Here is a 22540-nt window from a genome sequence, read left to right on the forward strand (position 1 = left end):
ACACCCTAGACAAAAATTAGCTCAGCATGGATCAAAAACAAAAATGTAAGAGCTAAAACAATAAAACTCTTAAAAGAACACATAGGTGCAAATCTTTTTGACCTTAGATTAGGCAGCAGTTTCTTAGATATGACATCAAAAGCACAAGCAAGAAAAGAAAAAATAGACAAACTGGGCAAAGTTAAAATTAAAAACTTTCATGCTTCAAAGGATACCATCCATCAACAAAATGAAATGGCAACTCACAGAATGGGAAAAATATTTGCAAGTCATCCCTCTAATAAAGGACTTATATCTAGAATATATAGGAAACGATTACACCTCAATAATAAAAGACAATAATCCAATTTAAAAATGGGCAAAAAATCTGAATAGACATTTCTTGAAAGAAAATGTACAAAGAGCCAGGCGCAGTGGCTCACGCCTGTAATCCCAGCACTTTGGGAGGCCGAGGCAGGTGGATCACCTGAGGTCAGGAGTTTGAGACCAGCCTGGCCAACATGATGAAACCCCATCTCTACTAAAAAAACATAAAAAGTAGCCAGTCATGGTGGTGTGCGCCTGTAATCTCAGCTACTTGGGAGGCTGAGGCAGGAGAATTGCTTGAACCCAGGAGGCAGAGGTTGCAGTGAGTCAAGATCACGCCACTGCATTCCAGCCTGGGCAACAGAGCAAGACTTCATCTCAAAAAAAAGAAAAAGAAAGAAAGGAAGGAAGGAAGGAAGGAAGGAAGGAAGAAAGAGAGAAAGAAAGAAAGTGTACAAAGGACAGTAAGTACATAAAAATGTTCAACATCATTAGCCAATAGAGAAATGTAAATGAAAACCACAATGAGATGCTATTTCACACCTACTAGGATGGCTCTAATAAAAAAGGATGTAGAGAAATTGGAAACTTCACACAGTGCTGGTGGGAATGTTAAATGGTGCAGCTGCTTTGAAAAATAGTCTGGCAGTTCTTCAAAAAGTTAAACAGACTTACCCTACAATCCAGCAATTTCACTCCTAGGTATCTACCCAAGAGAAATGAAATGTTTGTGTCTACACAAAAACTTGTATACAAACGTTTATAGCAGCGTGATTTGCAATAGCCAAAAGGTAGAAAAAACCCAAATGCCCATCTACTGATGAATGGATAAACAATAAACACTGTATATCCATATGATGGGATATTGTCCAACCACAAAAACAAAGTGAAATGCTGATACATGCTACAACATGAATAAATATTGAAAACATTATGCTAAGTGAAAGCAGCCAGCCACAAAGAAAACACATAATATATGATTTCCTTTGTACGAAATATCCACAGTAGGCAAATCTACAGAGACAGAAAGTAAAGTAGTGATTACATAGGGCTGGGGGCAAGGGTGAAGGGTTTAGGGGGTGTGGGATTTCTTTTGGGGGTCATGAAAATGTTTTCAAATTGATTGTAGTGATTAATGCACAACTCTCTAAATATATGAGAACCCACTAAATTGTATGCTTCAAATGGGTAAACTATATGATGTGGAATATATATCAGTAAAGCTGTGTTTAAAAAGTAAAAAATTTTAAAAAGTTGTATTACATTTGTCTTGTCAGACCACATAGTCATATATATATATATATATTCAATTTTTTTTGTCTCTTAGCCCTTATTTATTTGTAGTTCTACAGGTAATTATAATTGAATGGGCCAGGTGCGGTGGCTCATGCCTGTAATCCCAGCACCTTGGGAGGATGAGGCAGATGGATCATTTGAGGTCAGGAGTTCGAAACCAGCCTGGCCAACATGGTGAAACCCCATCTCTACTAAAAATACAAAAATTAGCTGGGCGTGGTGGCGCATGCTGTAATCCCAGCTACTCGGGAGCCTGAGGCAGAAGAATTGCTTGAACCCAGGAGGCAGAGGTTGCAGTGCAGTGAGCTGAGATTGTGCCACTGCAGTCCAGCCTGGGCAATAGAGACTATGTCTCAAAAAAAAAAAAAAAAAAAAGAATGCCCATCAGGTATCCTTATATTGATATATTTATGTCAGTCTGGTTATTTTGCTGGTTGGAAATTCTGTGATAAATTTCTCAGGAAGGCTCATGAAAACAATATTCCCGAGTTTTTACATGTTGATAACAGTTTATATCCTTTATACTTGCGAATTATTTTTGCTGGATATAAAATTATTGTGTCTTTCCTTGAAAGTCTTAAATATGTTAGTTCTTTTTATTTTCTTTGGCATTATGCATTGTTGTCAAAAATTCTGATGATAATCCAATTTTCTATTCGCTAAGAGTCAAATGAGCCTTTTTCTAGGTGCCCAGAAAATGTTTCTTTCTTTCTTTTCTTTTTCTTTTCTTTTTTTTTGTAGACAGAGTTTCACTTTTGTCGCTCAGGCTGGAGTGCAGTGGCGCGATCTTGGCTCACTGCAACCTCTGCCTGTGGGGTTCAAGCGATTCTCCTGCCTCAGCCTCCTGAGTAGCTGGGATTACAAGCGCCCGCCACCACGCCTGGCTAATTTTTGTGTTTAGTAGAGACCGGGTTTCTCCATATTGGCCAGGTTTGTCTCGAACTCTTGACCTCAGGTGATCCGCCTGCCTCGGCCTCCCAAAGTGCTGGGATTACAGGCGTAAGCCACTGTGCCCGGCCCCTTTTTTCTGAAGTCTATTTATTTATTTTCAGACAGGAAACTTTTTTTAATACTTTTTTTTTGGGAGTCGGGGGGGCAGGAAACAGAGTCTCGCTCTGCCACTCAGGCTGGAGGGCAGTTTCGTGATCTAGGCTCACTGCAACCTCTGCCTCCCAGGCTCAAGCAATTCTCATGCCTCAGCCTTCCGAGTAGCTGGGACCACAGTCATGCACCACTACACTTGGCTAATTTTTGTATTTTCTTGTTGGTAGAGACCGGGTTTCACTCTATTGGCCAGGCTGGGCTCAAGTGATCCACCTGCCTTGGCCTCCCAGAGTGCTTGGATTACAGGTGTGAGCCTCCCAAAGTTCTGGTATTACAGGTTTGGTGAAACCCATCCAGGAAAACTTTTTATTTTTCAAATCACAAACTTCCCAAGTGTCAATTTCCTCGTTTAAAAAACATATGCGGCCGGGAGCGGTGGTTCACGCCTGTAATCCCAGCACTTTGGGAGGCTGAGGCAGGTGGATAACCTGAAGTCAGGAGTTCAAGACCAGCCTGGCCTACATGGTGAAACCCTGTCTCCACTAAAAATACAAAAATTAGCCGGGTGTGGTGGCACGCGCCTGTAATCCCAGCTACTTGGGAGGCTGAGGCAGGAGAATCTCTTGAATCTGGGAGGCGGAGGTGGCAGTGAGCCACTGCACTCCTGCCTGGGTGACAGAGTGAGACTCTGCGTCAAAAAACAAACAAAACAACAACAAAACATATGCTTGGATTAAATTTGCAAGTGTTATAATACCTAAAATTCTATAAAAGAAAATAAATGTTTAAAATTTCAAGCCAGTTATCCTTGTGGGAATTTATGTGGATGCTGCAAATAGAAAGAGCAAAGCAAAGGAAAATCTTACAAGTAAAATCCCACTTTTGTAATTTCATATTTTCCTAAAAGTAGAGATTAAGCTATGTTTGAAAGATCTTAATTTTCATCCCACAGAATAAATAGAGCAATAACATTTTATTTTGTAACCAATCAATTTTAGTTTCTCTATCTTCTTTACATAATATTGTATTTGAAAACTTTTTTTATCATATGTGGTGCAAACACATAAGCATACATATTTAAGTGCACAGATATTGTTTCCAGTAGGATTTAAAATTGCAATATACTGTGGTGTTGACTGTTCTGGGAAAATACTATCAGCTATGTGGTGTGCTCTTTCAATATGCAATTAAGAATCTTTTTTATTTTCAGGAAAGTGTTTTTTTTTTTTAAAGTAAATGTATACAGTTTAATATTTGTCCTATGCCCTTGCTTTGGTTTTCTTTTATAGGAATTTCTATTACCTGTGTGTTTAATTTACTTTACCTTTCTCTTTTCCTTTTGATCTCTCTTCATTTCTTTTTGATTTAAAAAGTTTTCCTCTTTTTCACTTTCTAGAAATTTCTCTACAGGTACTTGTTGCATTTACTTGCTTGTATTCTTTCTGGTTTAGTATTCATTTATGAACTGATTTTCTCCTCTTCTTATTCTTATTCTTTCTTGAGCTGTGTCACCTTGTTTCTGAGGCTTCCTGATTCTGAGTTAGGTTGTTGTTAATGTCTCTTAGCTCATCTTGAAATAATAGGCTACAATTTTTCTTTCTTTTGTGGGCATGTCTTTTTGGCATACTTTCATTATCCTTGGGATGTTATTTAGCTTCCCATTTTCTTTTTTCTTATTATAATTTTGCATGTGATTTGACCTTGATACTACTGTGTTTTTGTTTTTGTGTGAAATCTGTTTCCCTGTACTTTGAAAAAATAAGGTGGAATTCCACAGAGCTTTTCTAATTTCACAGAGCTCCCTCTTCTGTTGCTTTTGTGTAGTGTTCAAAAATATGGTGGTTTGCTTTCTGGGATTTTCTGGCTCCATTCCCCTCTCCATTTAGGTCTAGCGTTTCTATTTCCATGTAATATCTGAGACATACATCCACTAAAAAATTATTTAGTGTTTATTTAAAATTCGCACTTAACTGAACATCCTGTATTTTTCTTTGCTACATCTGGCAACACTAGTTGTAAATATTTTCCATGTGCTTTGGTTTTGCAATCTAGTTCTGCTGTTTTTATGTAGAGATTTGCAGAGATTGAAAAACTATGTGGTTGCTGCTGTTGCCACTTTCCCAGAATATGCCACATAATTTTCAAATGTAATCTTCTTTCCTTTCTTTTACCGCCTTGGTGTACTTCTCGCTTCCCTTACACATATTTCACCCTGTATCTCCTCAGATAATCCATGTTCTAAACCTAGTGTGCATTTTTCTATAATTTTTATTACATGTATTTAATCATACATGCCTATAAGCATTACATATGGTTTTCTGTTTTTTAATTTTTTTTAAATTTATTATTATTATTATTATTTTAATTTTGGGGGACAGAGTCTCACTCTGTTGGCCAGGCTAGAGTGCAGTGGCGCACTCTCAGCTCACTGCAACCTCCATCTCCGGGTTCAAGTGTTTCTCCTGCCTCAGCCACCCAAGTAGCTGGGACTACAGGTGTGCATCACCATGCCCAGCTAATTTTTGTATTTTTAGTAGAGATGGGGTTTCATCATGTTGGCCAGGCTGGTCTCAGACTCCTGACCTCAGGTGATCCGTCCGCCTTGGCCTCCCAAAGTGCTAGGATTACAGGCATGAGCCACCATGCCCGGCCTGTTTTTTCTTTTCTCTTCTTTCTTTTTTTTTTTCTTTTTAAACAAAAGATCACATAGTATACACTTTTCTTCATCTTGATTTTCTCTGTCAACAACATCCTGCGGAAATCCCTCCAACTCATAGAACTCTATTTCCCTCTTTTTCATAATATTCAGAGATGTGCATGATCTGTGATTAGTTCAACCATGTTCTTAGTGTTGGTCTTTGTAGATTTTTTGCCACTACAAATGCATCTGTAATAAACACCCTTATACAGATCCTTATAAGTGATTGCTTTTGTTTCTGTGAGAGAGACTTCTGGGAGTATATTTAGTGAGAAAAATGTGTTTCTGATTGTTGCAGGAATGGAGATTGGGGCATTCAACATCCATGGCATCCCCCTTAAAGCACACTTTCCCAAAGAAGAGTGGGCGTAAAGCTAAAAAAGCAACACCCCAGACTCCAATTAGTTCAGCCAAGTAAATAGCACTTGTGCAGGACTTAGTTGCTAGAAGTGAGTTATGTGATAAGTCACTGAAGCATTTGACTTTTTTGCACAGAAGGTGTAGTGAAGTTTCTCCCTACTGTCTTGTCCTTAATCTCATTCATGTCTGTAAAAAGTAGTGGTGTGGGACCCTCCATGGTGGGATTGGGTGTTTCTCCTGGCTGCATCATCACCCAAAATTGCCTGGAAATTATTAAGATAATATTCTGTAACAAATCCTGTTCATTAAAACATGTTACAGTAGATTCTGTTGGCTAAAACAAGTGCCCTTAACCCCTACCAGCTGTGATTGCAGTAAACAGTACTTCAGTGAAATGGGGAGGTTGGATTGGTTATCTGCCTTCGTTGCAATTGAAAGCTGTGACAATCTGTTTGACATCAGAGAATGGTTGCTGGCAGTGCATGGTACACAGTGGTGGACGATTACTTCAACTATCATCTGTGGATACCTGGAGTGAAGTACATATTGAAGATAATGCCTTGGCAGTCAAAGTAGCTGCTGTGACAGATGATGTGAAGGCCATAAGGAATATAAAGGTTGTGACTTGGGTGGGCTATTTCTAACTGCTTAAGGAAAGAAAATTAAAGCTTCAGGGTTTTAAATTCTTGCCTGAAGACATGGTTAGAGAACCAGGGAATTCCTATGACTGCCCTGAAATAATCTCTCCATGTAGTCCTACATGACTGAGGTTAACTGGCTTGCTGGATTAATATAGGTTGAACTCATAGTCCTCCCTGATCTTTTAGGTAAAAACTTAGGGCATCAATTGGGAAAGGATGGCACCATGAGAATTTGGGGAAATTTGGGAAGATCTGAGGATACCAAGTACCTCAAACCCCAGTGAGTTTCTCTTGATAGCAGAAGCCCTCTCACCCTTACCCTACCCCATCTTATATGCCTGTTCCTGTCCTACTTTAAGCCCTTCTTGTGATCTCACCTAAGATAGTTTTCTTGTCAGCAGATGACAATTCTCATTATCCCCCTCCTGTCCCTGCTCATTGTACTGAAACATACAAGCAGTCATATTGTCCTGTGTCCCAGGGGACCAATCACAAAGTTAAACCTTAGCAAAATAATTGCAAAGTTTTGCTAATTTATTTCAACAAGACATGGGTAATATATATATGGACATGGAGTCTAAGAGATTAGGGACACACTTTTACATTGGCCTGAATTTACTTAATTTTAGAGGACCTAATTGCTTCTTTAGTTTGATTAAAACTTGGTGTGGCCTATGTGATGGGAAATTGAGATTCCAGAAACTCATACCAGAAACACATCAAAGTATGATATAAAGAAATCAGCTGGGTGTGGTGGCTTACGCCTGTAATCCTAGCACTTTGGGAGGCCGAGGCAGGTGGATCACCTGAGGTCAGGAGTCTGAGACCAGCCTGGCCAACATCGTGAAACCCTGTCTCTACTAAAAATACAAAAAATTAGCTGGGCATGGTGGCTGGTGCCTGTAATCCCAGCTACTCAGGAGGCTGAGACCGGAGAATCGCTTGAACTCAGGAGGCAGAGGTTGCAGTGAGCTGAGATCGAGCCACTGCACTCCAGTGTGGGCAACAAGAACATAACTCTGTCTCGAAAAAAAAAAAAAAAGGAAATCAAAAGACATGTTTTTGAAATTTTGGAGTGGATTTATCAAATGTGGATTTGTCATTCACTCACTCCCTTCCAAATTAAATTACCCAAAAAGGCTCAGAGAATATTTCTTTCACCATGACATGGAAAAGTACAAATGTAAAAAAGTGGAAATGGAGAAGGAAAATTTGGATGAGGGATTTTGCTATAGAAATGTATACCTGGATTTTGGTGAAATGATCCTATCCCACAGTGGCGGAGACCATGAAGTAGCACTTAACCAGTGGAGAAAGGCAGCATGGCTACACAATAGGTATCAGTGATAGAGTGGTTCTCAGAATTGTCTGACCCATAGGAAACTTTGATGGTGGCTAACCTGAGGTACTCAGGGCCAAAATACATAGACAGACCACTAAGATTCTACTCAACTGTAAAACTAGAAGAAAAAAATTTGTTACGTGTATGGAAAGAGTCCTGACTTAAGCTATCCCAATGAAGAGTCATGTCCTCTCACCCTTTTTCCATTTCTGAGTCAGTTCAATGACCCAGCACCCCTTGAATGAAGGAGAGATCAGGAACCCTGGGGAGGAACCCTGTGGTAACTTAGATATATATAACTCTTATTCCTCCTGTTTCCCAAGAAGACTCAGGCCTATTTACCATGGAAACTGAGCCCCAGGGAAGACAAACATTCAGATCTCTCAGGAATGATTAGCTACTGGGTCCAAAGCAAGCTTAATCCCTGAGAAAACTGAATTCCACTGTCGTCCCCCAGTCAGGGTGGGATTTATGAGAGCTAAGTGATGAATTTTGGGCTAGCATTCTTCTCACAGTGGCCCAGTGAATCTTATATCCATACCGTGTTTATTTTCCTAGTTCTGGAGTTCATAGTGGAAGTAGAAATATTCAGCTACTGGTAGAAAAATAAAGATTGTTCTCTGACCCATGGAATCATGTCTATTATGGTAGAAAGGGCCAAGTGTAAGTACATGGAGATTCCTCTCCCTACCAAAGTTATAAACTAAAGACAATATCATATCCCTTTGGAATTATGGTGATGAGGTACCATCAAACACTTAAAATACTTATAAGTAGTGATTCTTACCACATCTCCATTTCACTCACCTGTTTGGTGTGTGTCTTTGAGAATTTTATTGGATTACTATAAGCTTAATCAGGTAGTAATTTCAATTAGAGTTGCTGATTCTCTTTACTGGAGAAAAATTAACCCAGAGCCTCATACCTGGAAGGTGAAATTGTCTTTTTTTCTATCTCCTAATAAGCAGATAATAGTAGAGGAAATTGCTTTTACCTGTAAGGGTCACTTATCTATCTCTATTTTCTTGGCTTAAGGTGGTCATACTTTGGTCCCTATGGGCATGAGTGTCTCACTGTCTTACTGGATATTACTTTGAGCCAATATATTGATGACATTCATTCTGATAGGAACTGAGAGCAGGAAATAGTAGGTATTCTCAATTCCCTGATGAGATACATGCCTGCTGAAAGGTGGTTGTGAAATCCCACAAGAATTCCAATGTGTTCCCTCATGGAAATGTTTGGGAATCTAATGTCCTGGGGAACATTAGCTGACACCTTCAAAATGAAAAACAAGTTGTAAAATGAAAAACACCCTGCATTCCTACCTTTAAGAAAAAGGTACAACACATGGCAGATTATTCTGGATTTTTGAGGCAACATATGGTGCATTTACTGAGTAACCTTTACTTTAGCCCGTTGACTAAGTAAACTGTAAGGGGGCCAGACTTCAATGAACTGCAGAATAAGAGAAATTCTGGCTTGTTGAAGCTGCTTGGCACCCAGCTTTTATGATCCAAAGTATGAAATAGTCCTCGAAGTATTTGTGGCAGATTGGGGTGATGTATAAAGGTTGCAAAAAGCCTAGATAGAAGAATCACAGCATAGCCCCTTAGGATTTTGGAGCAAAATAAAATTCTATTAGGAAAATCACTATTCTCCTTGCGAGGCTGTGGCTTGCTAGAGGCTGATAGAGACTGAGCACCTGAATATAGTACACTAAATGACCATGAGATCTGAATTATCAGCATAAACTGGGTATTATCTGATTTACCATGCCTTGACATAGAGTATGCCTAGCAGGAGTTCATCATCAAGCAGTAGTAGTATGTATGAAATTGGGCTTGAACAGCTCTAAGAGGCACAATTCAGTTGAATGAATAGGGGTTGTTCAGTATTTACAGTGCTCTTATTTTTGACATTCTATAGAAATTTTTAAACATACAGAACAAAAGACTTGTCCAGTGAGCATCCATATACCTACCACGTAGATTCTACCATTAACATATTCATATATATATATATATATATATATATAGAGAGAGAGAGAGAGAGAGAGAGAGAGAGAGAGAGAGAGAGAGAGAGAGATGAAGTCTTGCTCTGTTGCCGAGGCTGGAGTGCAATAGCACGATCTCGGCTCACTGCAACCTCTGCCTCCTGGGTTCAAGTGATTCTCTTGTCTCAGCCTCCCAAATACCTGGGATTACAGGTGTTCGCCACCACGCCCATCTAATTTTTTGTATTTTTAGTAGAGATGTTGGCCAGGCTGGTCTCAAACTCCTGACCTCAGGTGATCCTCCTGATTACAGGTGTGAGTCACTGTGCCTGGCCCATATTCTTATATATATATATATTTTTGCACATTATCTGTTCATTCCTGTATGTATCCACAAATTCATCTTGCTTTTTGGATGCATTTCAGAGTAACTAACCTAGTTCTCTACTTCTATTGCATATCCACCTATCCCTCAAGCCACACCTTTGGACTCTTGGGTTGTTCCTTGTGGCCAGCTGACTGAAGAGGAAAACCCTTAGCCTAGTTTATAGCTGGCACCAGACAATATTCTGTCAGTAGCGAGAAATGAAATCAGCAGCATTAGAGCCCTGCTCAGAGTGGGCCTTCAAGACAGTGGTGAAGAGAAATCTGCCCAATGTGCAGAACTTATATTAGTACATTCTATTTCCTCTTTGCCTGGAAGGAGAAGTATGAATGTACAGCAGTTAATAAGTAGTGATTAATTGTCTGGCCAGCCAGACAAGAGACTTGGGAGAAACAGCTCCAGAGGGCAGGGGACAAGGGAGTCTGAGAAAGAGGTGTGGTTTCAGAATGTGAGGATATTTGTGTAAAACATGAATGCTCACCAGAAAACCTCCACAGGGGATGAGACTCTCAATAATTGAGCAGACAAGATTAGCTGCTCTGGGTTTCAGTCAGCCTTTTTGCCCAGCTTGCACAATGAGTTTATGAACTAAGTGGCTATGACAGCAGAGATAGAGGCTGTGCTTGTGCTCAATTCTATGGTCTCTCATCATCAAGGCCGACCTAGCTTCCACTTGCTGAGCACCCAATCTTTCAGCAGCAAAATCCAATGGTAAGCACCTAATATAGTATCATAATCTAAGAAGATCAGCCAGCCACCTGGTGGCAGGTTGATTTTATTGGATCCCTGTCAATGTATTGCCCATACTAGAATAGACATTTATTCTAAATATGTATTTGTCTTGCTTGCTTAACGAACATGCTTCTGTTAAAAATGCCATCCTTGAAATTACTGGATACCTTATTCCTGGCCATGGTATTCTGTACAACATTGTTTCTGGCTAAGAAAGAAGCAAGGCAATGGGCTGGCCCATGCAGAAATTGCTGATCTTATCACGTGCCTCATTACCCAGAAACAACTGAGTATATAGAATGGTTAAATGGCCTAATAAACTCAGGTACTGAGACAGCTGGAAGACAACTGGGGAAGTTAGGCGAGGGGAGTGGGTGCTTCAAAAGTCTGAACAAGTAACTATTAATAATATATGGTGCTGTTTCTCCTACAGTCAGAACTCATGGATCTGGGAACCAAGGGGGTGAAAGTGGTAGTGTTATTTTAAAATATTATGTCTAATGACCCATGCTATGGTTCAAATGTGTCCCCCAAAAGTTCACAAGCTGGAAATCTAATTGTTAAATATGTTTTAGCAATTAAAGAGGTGATTTAGGCAGTTGCCTTTAAGAGGCAATTAGTCCACGAAAGCTCTACCCTCATTAAGGGATTAATGCTGTTATTGCAGGAGAGGGTTAATTATCATGAGAGTGGGCTCCCAATAAAAACATGAAGTTCAGCCTCCATCCCTCTCTGCCTCTTGCATGCATGTCTCCTCATCATATGATGCCTTCCAGCATAGGATGACCCTCACCAGATGCTGGCACCTTGCTCTTGGACTTCCCAGCCTCCAGAACCATGAGTCAAATAAATTTCTCTTCCTTATAAATTATCCTGTATGTGGTATTCTGCTATAGCAGCAAAAATGGACTAGGACAACTTACCAAATGTTTGCTTCCTGTTCTTTCAATTTTTGGCTGTATTGATTTAGAGGTTTCTGTACCCAAAGAATTAATGTTTCCACCATGGGACAAAGCAAGGGCTCCACTGAATGGGAAACTGAAACTGTCACCTGATCATTTTGTATTCCTCATGCACCTGGATTAACAGGCCCAAAAGGGGATTACCATTTGGCTGGGGTAATTGATCCAGATAATCAAAGGGAAATAGGAATACTGCCACAAAACTGAGTGAGGAAAAAATATATCTGAACACAGGTGAGCCTCTAGAACACTCCGTAAGAATGGAATATCCAGTAATAAAATCTAGTGGGAGGCTACAGTACCCCTATGGTTTGGATCACCCCATGGATAAAATGGCTCAACTGGCTGAGACACAGACTGAGAAAAAGAGAACATGATGTTGACATCACAGCATTTCAGTAATGTTCTGTAACTTGTGCCTAGCTGCAGAAATGAGGACTTTAGGAGCTATCTTATGATTCCTCAAATTATGCATATGCATATGTAATTACACATATATATTAAATATTTATTTTCAATTATGCATTTTAATATTCCTTGTATCTTTCTTCCACTATTTTATATAAGGCAGATGTTTTTGTTATCTGATGATGTATAACAAACCACCTGAAAATTTAATGTGTTAAAACAACAATTTATTAGCTTTCACAACTCTGTGAGATTACTGGGTACTCATGGGAGCTAGAGTACATCTTTCCAATAAATTTTTTAAAAAATTAAGTTGACCAGAGGAGTAATTCTATTGCCTACAACCAAAGAACACTAATTGGAACAGAAATTGGTATCTGAGAGTGTGTTCTAAGCAAAAGGCCCTCAAAGAAATATGGTGTATTTTGAATTGATTATCAGGCCAAGATAAGACAAGAGGCAATTACACTCCAATTTCTAACTGGGGCAAGGAAATGAATAGCTCATGGAACCCGGTGGAGAAATTCCAAAATTTCTAGGGAACTTGGGAGCAGTTGCCTACAATACACCCCAGAGCCTGCTCAAATGGGCACCTTAACAAAGTGGCCCTGGTGGCAGGGATGGATACTATATATGAACTAAAAATTATGAACTTCCTTTCACTAAATTTGAGCTCACTACCACCTCTGTTACATAACAATTGCTGACAACAGCATCCAGCTGTGAACCAGTGATGATAGCAACAACGCCTTGAGAAGATAAGTGAGCTGAGATCATGGGGTCCCATTACACCATGGATGAGACAGCAATTTTGGACTCACAGGAATGGGAACTTATTGCATATTTCATGTTGTGCTCACTGGTTCATTGTATACTAAATATATTACGTCTATCTAGCTGCCTATCTAGCTATACATACACAAATATATACATACACATATAGATATATAAAACAACATCCCTGGCTCACACCTGTAATCCCAGCACTTTGGGAGGCTGAGGCGGGCGGATCACCTGAGGTTGGGAGTTCGAGACCAGCCTGGCTAACATGGTGAAACCCCGTCTGTACTAAAAATACAAAAATTAGCTGGGAGTGGTGGCAGGTGCCTGTAATCCCAGCTACTTGGGAGGCTGAGGCAGGAGAATCACTTGAACCTGGGAGGCAGAGGTTGTAGTGAGCTGGGATAGTGCCACTGCACTCCAACCTGGGAGATAAGAGTGAGACTCTATCTCAAAAAACAAACAAACCAACCAACAAAAAAACTCACAAGATTTCTCTCTACATATGCCATATATTAACTTTTATAATTTTTTCTGATTATAAAATCATTATAAAAATGAAGCTATTATTGGATCAACTTAGCCCTTAGTGGAAATGACTCATCCTAAGGAAGACTTTGCCACCAGGAGTCAATGGCAGGTTATAATCAGTTTCCCTGCCACCCACTCAAGCACCTGGAAATGCCCTTCACTTTCTGCCCACCTAATGCCCCCAGAAGCCAACTGGGAGAGGAAATTAAAAGTTCTCCAATAGGCAGACATCTATATCAGCTCCAGTGAAACCACATTTATTCCAGTGTTCTATTCAGAATCTTTTGATCAGCCAGTTCAATTTGAAGTCCATTTATTTCTTTCGACAATGTTAACCAAGCACCTCCTTATATGCCAGAGGCTTTTTTAGGGACTAGGCATGCAGTAATACAAAAAACACACCAAATCCCTTTTCACACTACCTAGAGAGGGGTCCATACAGTGTTGTTCTGGATTGCCATCATAACTTAAAGGAAAATGTTCACAATGTCTGGAGTCCTTAATGTTCTGCAAATGAAAGAGGAGGATGTCATCAAGTTCCTTGCAGCAGGAACCCATTTAGGTGGCACCAACCTTGACTTCCAAATGGAACAGCACATCTATAAAAGGAAAAGTGATGGCATCTACATCATAAATCTGAAGAGGACCTGGGAGAGGCTTCTGCTGGCAGCTCATGCCATTGAAAACCCTACTGATGTCAGTGTCATATCCTCCAGGAATCCTGGCCAGCAGGCCATCCTGAAGTTTGCTGCTGCCACGGGAGCCATTCCAATTGCCGGCCACTTCATTTCTGAAACCTTCACTAACCAGATCCACTGGCAGCCTTCCGGGAGCCACATCTTCGGGTGTTTACTGATCCTAGGGCTGACCACCAGCCTCTCAGAGGCATCTTATGTTAACCTGCCTATCATTGTTCTGTGTAACACATTCTTCTTTGCACTATGTAGACAATGGCATTCCTTGCAACAAGAGAGTTCACTCAGTGGGTCTGATGTGGTGGAGGCTGGCCCAGGAAGTTCTGAGCATGCGTGACACCATCTCCCATGAACACCCATGGAAGGTCATGCCTGATCTTTACTTCTACAGAGATCCTGAAGAGTTTGAGAAGGAAGAGCAGGCTGCTGCTGAAAAAGCTGTGACCAATGAGGAATTTCAGGTTGAATGGACTGCTCTAGCTCCTGAGTTCACTGCTGCTCAGCCTGAGGTTGCAGGCTGGTCTGAAGGCATGCAGCTGCCCTCTGTGCCTATTCAGAAGTTGCCTACTGAAGACTAGAGTGCTTAGCCTGCCACGGAAGACTGGTCTGCAGCTCCCACTGCTCAGGCCACTGAATACATAGGAACAACCACTGAATGGGCTTAAAGCTGTTCTTCCACAGGCTCTTAAGCAACATGGAAATAAGGCTGGTGGAAAATAAACATCATTTTCTAAAATAAACAAACAAACAATCAAACAAAAAGACAAAAATCGCTTCTCATGGAGCTTGCATTCTCATGGTGGGAAGTGAGACAAACAATAACTAAATAAATAAATTTGGGTGGTAATAAGTGCAAAGAAAAAATAAGACATGGGCAAGGGCATGGGTATGTTGGGTTATCAGAGAAGGCCTCTAGTAGGGCAGAGACTCTGGAATATGTTCTAGGCAGTGAGAACAGCCCATGCAAGGGCCCTGAGGCGGCAGTTTGCTCTGCACGTTGAGGAACAGTGAGGAAGCCAGCATGGCTGGAGTGGGGTAAGCAAGGGGCATGAGTAGGAGTTTAGATCTGGAGGTATTTCAATGGAAGCCAGATCATGTAGGCTCCTGTAGGCTTTGGTTAGGACTCTGAATTTTATTGTGAGTGTGGTTGAAAACCCTTGTAGCATTTTGAATAGAGACATGAAATGCTCTGTTTAATGATTTAGTGGGATCACTCTTGCTCCCCTGTAGAGAATGGTCTTGGTCTTTGATGCAAACCAATTCCATGCCTCTACATTTCTTCATCTTCAGCCATATAAAAATGCAAGCTCCCCCCATTTCCTCTCACTGAAAGGCTTTCATCTCCCTATTTCTGCAAGTCTTTCTCTTGGGCTCATCTTCCACTGCTGACCTCCTTTCTCCAAACTTGTGTTGCAATTGTAGGCAAACTTCCCTGCCTAAATAGCCTTTCACCTTATCCCATCCTTAACTGACACCTCTCTTTCCCCTGAGGACACAACTGTCCTTGCAACCTCTGCAGGGCAGGTTGACATGTTCCCATGTTCTACTTATTATACAACAGAACCAGCACTTAGACTTGCCTGCTCCCACTGACCCACTGGAAGCTTCTACACTGTTTGGTTTAATGGGAAGCTGCACAGACTTTGTAGTCAGGCTGGACTTGAATCTCCACTGCACCCCCTTTTACTGGCTGGGTTACACTGGGCAAATTATTTAACTTAATATGAGCCTTGGTTTCCTCACCTGTAAAATACATTGGACAATTTTTGTCAAGATTACAGGAAGCGATGATTGTAAAATACCCATTATAGTGCCTAGCACTCAAAAAACCTTACTCTTCTCTTCCCTCCTGTCCCTTTGATAACCATATGACCCTCTTGTCACTTATCTGTATAGTGTGCAGGTAGAATGTGGCATTTGACTCACCTCGCTAATCCAGACTTCATCCCCATTTGTGATGGTTAATCTTAGGTGTCACTTTGAGTAGATTAAGGAATGCCTAGAAAATTGGTAAAGCATTATTCTGGGGGTATATCTGTGAGGGTGTTTCCAGAAATGATTAGAGTATGAATCTGAGTAGACTAGGTGGAGATCTGCCTTCAATGTGGGCAGGTACCATCTAATTGGCCGGGGGACCTGAGAGAACAAAAACAGAGGAAAGGCTAATGTATCTATCTATCTGCTTCAGCGGGTATACACTCTTCCGCTCCTGTCCTTGGACAACAGAACTCCAGGTTTTCCAGCTTTGGACTCCAGAACTTATACCAGCAGTCCTCCAGGTTCTCAGATCTTACACCTCAGACTGAGAGGTATACCATCAGCTTCCCTAGTTCTGAGGCCTTTAGACTTGGACTGAGCTATGCTACCAGCATCCCAGGGTCTCCAACATGGAGGTGGTCTGTTGTGGAACTCATCAGCCTCCATAAGCTCATGAGCCAATTCTAGTAAATCTCCTCTCATAAATCCATATATCTACATCTATATAGCCTATTGGTGTGTATTGCTGGAGAATCCTAAGAGTTTTCATAACCACATGGGAGACTTGTTTCAGGAACTCATTCCTGTAGCCATACCTTGAGCCATTTAAACTCCAGTATTTTAGTTTCTGGTCAAAATCTCCCATCTCTCCATTCATCCTTAATCCCTTTTGAGCCATCTTGTGCACTCTAGTCTCCAAGTGCTCCTTCTCCAAGGTCTGACAGCTGCATCCCTGGGCTCTACCTCCTTCCTTATTTGACCTGGACTTCCTCCTGTGAATCAGCGAGAGTTTTAGAGTTCAAGTGATAGAAACTGACTCTGGCTAACTTCAGCAGAAAAGGAACCTACTGGAAGCATATTGAGGGGTTTCAAGAACCAGTGGGAAAGTTGGAAACCAGGCTTGGAAAAGGGGTGGCATGTGTTAGGTTTGTCATTCGGTAAATATTTATTTCCTATCCTCCATCAACCTCCATGGGAGAAATACGATGCTGGATTTTCCCACATGATTTTCTTTGGACATTGAAGCATTGGAGGAAGAGACAGTATGCCTGTAGCCTTAGAAGCATTTGTGTTTCCACTCATCCTGAGAGCTTTGGACCTCCATCATAAAAGAAGCATTCTCTGGGTAACCTGCTAGTCCCAGAAGAATGAAAGACTGGTAAAGATATCCTAGCCAATTTGTACACTGCAGCCTGAAACAGATATCCCCAGGTAACTGGCTTGTGTATAAGCAAGAAACAATGCTTTTTATTATAGGTCCTTGAGATTTTATGATTGTTTATTACACAGCATTGTGTGAGTAGCTGGTGAACCAAGTAGTCCTGGTAGAACCAAGGATGGGCGGGGAGCAGGACCCATGACTAAGCATGCCATAAGAACTAATTGATAAGGATATGTCTCCTTGCTCCTTTGGCTGTTGCTACTGCTGGACTCTCAATTCCACCAGTATGAATGTGTTCTAAGCCAGTGCTTTTCACACTTTAATATGTATGAATCATGTGGGATCTTGTTAAAATGCAGATTCAGTACATCTCGGTGGGCCCTGAGATTCTGCATTTCTAAGGCTCCCAGGTGATGCCAATGCTACTGGCCCCAGACAGACGGGAATATTCAAATGGGTGAATCTAGGTCACATGTCCATGCCTTGACTGTTAGGTGACAGGTAGAGGGATGACCCTTCTGTGATGGGTCAGGGAGCACTGTATCCCAGTAGTGCTATTCAATGGGAAATAAGAAGAGCAGCTAAAAATATTACAAATGTCTATCCAGGCTCCCTATTAAATCACTTTAACCCTTCTCTTGCTCTTGGTCCTGCTATTGCACTTGTTCTGCAACTCCTGATCTTGGATCAATCCCCTGGCTACCTTCATCACTTTTACCAACTTATTCATTCATTTAAAACATATTTTCTGAATTCCCATAATATGCCAGCCATCAGGGATAATTTGGTAAAAAAAAAAAAAAAAGAATAATGAAGATTCTACCTCTTGTGGCTTATATTCTAGTGGAAAAAAACAGACATTCTCAAATAAAAAAATAAGTTTAATGAATCCAGGGTGCTAAATGTGCTATGAAGAGAATATCATGATGAGTAACTAGGGGCAGCTTACATGAGATAAGTCAAGCTGAAGTCTGAATTATGAGCTCAGAGAATAGCTGAAAGAAAAATGTTCAAGGCTGAGGGACCAAATGCAAAGTCTTGAGGCAGGGAAGGTCTTGGCTTGAAAAACAGAAAGGAGGCCAGTGAGACTAGGGTTATTGAGCAAGAGGGAGGGAAGTGTTGAATTAGGGTGGAGAAGTAGTCAAAGGCCAAGCAACAGGGAAAGCTAAGAAATTTAGATTTTATTCTGAACATAACAGGGAGCATTGGAGGCTATTTAAGTAACAGCAGATGAATCCATACATATTCTGAGAGCTCACTTAGGCCACTGAATGGAGAACGGATTGTAAGGGCAAGAATAGAAAGCAGGAGACCAACAAGGAGAGTGTCAGTAGTCCAGGTGAGAGATGCTTGTGGCCTGGCACCTTTCTTTTTTCTGCTGTATGAGAAAGCCACATACTTCTCCTATTTAAGAGTAATCCCTCCACCTGAATCACTCATCATCTTCTCTGTTTTTATTAATTCTCCCTGTTTTCTACCTTCAATCTCTTTCCTTCCTTTGGGTCTATTTCCTCAGCATACTAATATATTCAGATCTCTTACACATAAAAAAGTAACAGTATTAAGAGGTGGGACCTTTAAGAGATGGTTAGGCTTCACCCTTCACTCCTTCTGCCATGTAAGAGTGGAGTGAGAAGGTGGCTGTCTATGAGGAAGCAGGCCCTCGTTAGACACTGAAACTGCTGGTGCCTTGATCTTGGGCTTCCCAGCTTCCAGAACCTCACGAATGGATTAATGCCATTATTGTAGGAGTGAGTTAGTTATCTTGGGACTGGCTTTCTGATAAAACAATGAGTTCAGCCTAATTTCCTCTCTCTGCCTCATGCACTTGCTTCTGCCTTCCGTCCATCCTCTTTGGGATGACCCTCACCAGGTGCTAGCACTATACTCTCGGACTTCCCAGCCTCTACAATAGTGAGCAAAATAAATCTCTTTTCTTTCTAAATAACCTAGTCTGTGGTATTCTGTTACAGCAGCACAAAATAGACTAAGACACCTACATTCTACAATACCACTCTTTTTGTGTTCTCTTCCTATCTCTCTGGCAGTTTCTTTTCAGTTTGTGTTTTCATCTTTCTTGTCCGTGCCACTATCCACTCCTGTCACTCATCATCTGAGTGGGGTTGCAACCTCCTTACTCTGACCTCCCTTCCTCTACCAGAGTCCTCCTCCACATCATTGTGTACTTTGGTTTCTAAGGAGGATGGGTTAAGACATATAGTGACATATTGATGTAATTCAGAAACACAACTATTTGTTTAAAGGATGATGTGTTTTAAGAATGATTCCTGGTTACTCTCTGGAAGGCTAAGCCTCAGGAGACATCAGTTTGGCATTCAGACTGTCCACTTGCAATATAAGAGCTGCTGGACAGCTTAAGTATTTTCAGCTGTAGACACTGGGATTGTCTGCACCAGTTGATCTAATTACTACCTTACCTATACCTAACTTTATACCTTGGTGAAGAATTATCTTGGAATAAAGTCATTCCTGCATCCAATCACAGCAGGAACCTCAGGTAAACAATTCATTCAATGAGAGTAATGGCTCTGCCATATCCACCAATCCCAATCTTGGTTCATACACTACAGAGAACAGCAGCAATTAAAGTGACATTTTAATAACCAGGCATAAGATGTTTTTATTATAAGGATTGCTGAAATTCCTCAATTCATGATTACTATGGTTTGAATATTTGCATTCCTCCAAAATTCATATGTTGAAATCCTAACTCCAAGGTGATTGTATCAGAAAGTGATTAGTGTCCTTATTTTAAAAAGCCTAAGAGAGTTCCCTCCCTCCCTCTGCCATGTAAGAGTAGAGTGAGAAGATGGCTGTCTATGAAGAAGCGGGCCCTTGTTAGACACTGAATCTGCTGGTGCCTTGATCTTGGACTTCCCAGCTTCCAGAACTGTGAGAAATAAACATCTGTCATTTATAAGCCACCTAGTCTATGGTATTTTGTTATACCACTCTGAACAGGCTAAGAAAATAATTTTACTACTGGCTTCATGAAAAATATTCCCAGGGTTGCCTCCAGGCAGATATTCTAGGAATCCAATGTAAGCAAACCTGGTCACTGATTTCTAAGGGGAAACTCTGTCTATGTCTCCCCATGAGACTGTAAATCCTGAAAGCAGGAAGATGTCATTTAATTTCTGTTACTCTAGCATCTGGCAAAGTGACTGGCATTTAGTAGCTACTTAATAAATATTTGTTGAGTATTTGTATATTTGACTGAATATACAAACTAATAACAGCCAGATCACATATAAGAATAGAACCCTCAGCTGCATGTGGTGGCTCATGCTTTTAATCTCAGCCCTTTGGGAGGTCAAGGTGGGAGGATTGCTTGAGACGAGGAGTTTGGGGCTGCAGTGAGCTATGACCATGCCACTGCAGTCCAGCCTGGGTAACAGAGCAAGATCCTGTCTCTATTTTAAAAAAGCAGAACTTTGATCCACAACCAGTAGTAATCTTCCCAGGAAATCAACCCATATCTACAATAACCAGTCCAGGAAGCTAGCCTGCTATGCCAGACTTGTAGGAAGCCAGATTGCCGTCTCTAATAAAAATCTAAGAAGCCAAACAATAATCCTTATAATAATCAGCCCCAAATGGCTAGGACTTTAATAACTTGACAGCTTCCCTAAGTTTTGTCTTTGCTTGCAACTTAGGACTAACCAGAGAAAACCAGATATTCCCCCCCAAACAACTCCTGTAAGATGCCCAGTTTCCAGTTAGCCCTCCAACAGCTTCCTGTGCCAACAGCCTCCAATCAGGGCACACCTGAAGCCTTCCTTTCTTTTCCACTATAAGATTTTCCCACTCCTCTGCCTGCCTTTGAGTCTGCCAAAACACAAATAACAGTGGCTGACTCCCTTGCTACAGCAAGTTCAGAATAAATAGACTTTGCTTGTTCTCATTTGATTAGTCTTCATTTATTTTCACAAGTAAATGCCTTTGGAGACTTAGGACAGACCTGGACCCGCCATGGTAACACGGCAGAACCTTAGGATTGGAAAGGGGTTACGGAGAAACGTAATCTGGATAGCTGTTGGAACCTGACTTTCTCAGGTTATTTGCCTCTACACCCTCTTTTCCCATTCAAAAAAAAAAAAAAATCCTGAACCTTCAAGGCTTGGGTTTGAAAGCAGAATCTTTTGACAAGAGACAGCCAGCTGACTCTGCAGTTCCCAGTGGCCCCCTGAGCTTCATCTTTCACAGGTAGTAGGCTCAATTTGATGACTCCTGTCACTGCCATGCTGGTCCATGTTCAAGGGTCCTCAGAGACTCCTTCCCTGGGTTGCCCTTAGCACAGCTCCAGTAAGCTGGAGTTTCATAATTTTTTTTTTTGAGATGCAGGCTTGTTCTGTTGCCCAGACTGGAGTGCAATGGCACGACCTCTGATCACTGCAACCTCCGCCTCCCGGGTTCAAGCAATTCTCCTGCCTCAGCCTCCTGAGTAGCTGGGATTATAGGCATATGTCACATGCCCTGCTAATTTTTGTATTTTTAGTAGAGGAGGGGTTTTGCCATGTTGACCAGGCTCGTCTTGAATGCCTGACCTCAGGTGATCCACCCGCCTGGGCCTCCCACAGTGTTGGGATTACCGGCGTGACCCACAGCGCCCAGCCCATAATGTTTTTACAAATTAAAAAATGTCACCAGAACCTGCACTTTGGCTTCAGGTAAGTCTATGTTAATAGTAACCTCTCGGCCGGGCACGGTGGCTCATGCTTGTAATCTTAGCACTTTGGGAGGCCAAGGCAGGCAGATCATGAGGTCAGGAGTTTGAGACCAGCCTGGCCAACATAGTGAAACTCCGTCTCTACTAAAAATACAAAAATTAGCCGGGCATGGTGGTGGGCGCCTGTAGTCCCAGCTACTCGGGAGGCTAAGGCCGGAGAATGGGGTGAACCCGGGAGGCGGAGCTTGCAGTGAGCCGAGATCGCGCTACTGCACTCCAGCCTGGACGACAGAGCGAGACTCCGTCTCAAACAAACAAACAAACAAACAAACACATAAAAGTAATCTTCCAGTTCATTGGCTCTGGTTCTTCTTCAAATAGGGCCTCATCTCTCCTTTACTCCAGGTAGTGGTGATATTAAAAATATTTAGCACCTGGAATGACAAGTGCATGGACCAATCAAAACAGGGGCTCAAGCCGTACCAGGCATTAACCCTTTAGTTTTTGGATCCTGGGGAGGTCTGGGTAGAAGGTA

At 41.4% G+C, this 22540-nt stretch overlaps 1 long non-coding RNA gene and 1 pseudogene across 2 annotated transcripts in view; one reads left to right on the plus strand and one right to left on the minus strand.

The window, feature by feature from the left end:
* The window catches only part of LOC105374804 (uncharacterized), a 33362-nt gene that overhangs the window by 3732 nt on the left and 7090 nt on the right, over positions 1 to 22540 (minus strand). Inside the window, exons 2-3 of one of the 2 annotated variants that reach the window (XR_007087053.1) lie at positions 16750 to 16926; positions 16103 to 16175 (exon numbers count right to left, since the gene is read on the minus strand). This is a non-coding gene — a long non-coding RNA (uncharacterized LOC105374804). Of the gene's footprint in view, positions 1 to 15681; positions 16176 to 16749; positions 16927 to 22540 lie in introns of those variants that run through there. The other variant, XR_007087045.1, reaches the window with a different exon arrangement.
* Positions 13900 to 14912, plus strand: RPSAP28 (ribosomal protein SA pseudogene 28; annotated as a pseudogene).

This window comes from Homo sapiens, chromosome 2 (assembly GCF_000001405.40).
Source record: "Homo sapiens chromosome 2, GRCh38.p14 Primary Assembly".
NCBI classification, from domain to species: domain Eukaryota; kingdom Metazoa; phylum Chordata; class Mammalia; order Primates; family Hominidae; genus Homo; species Homo sapiens.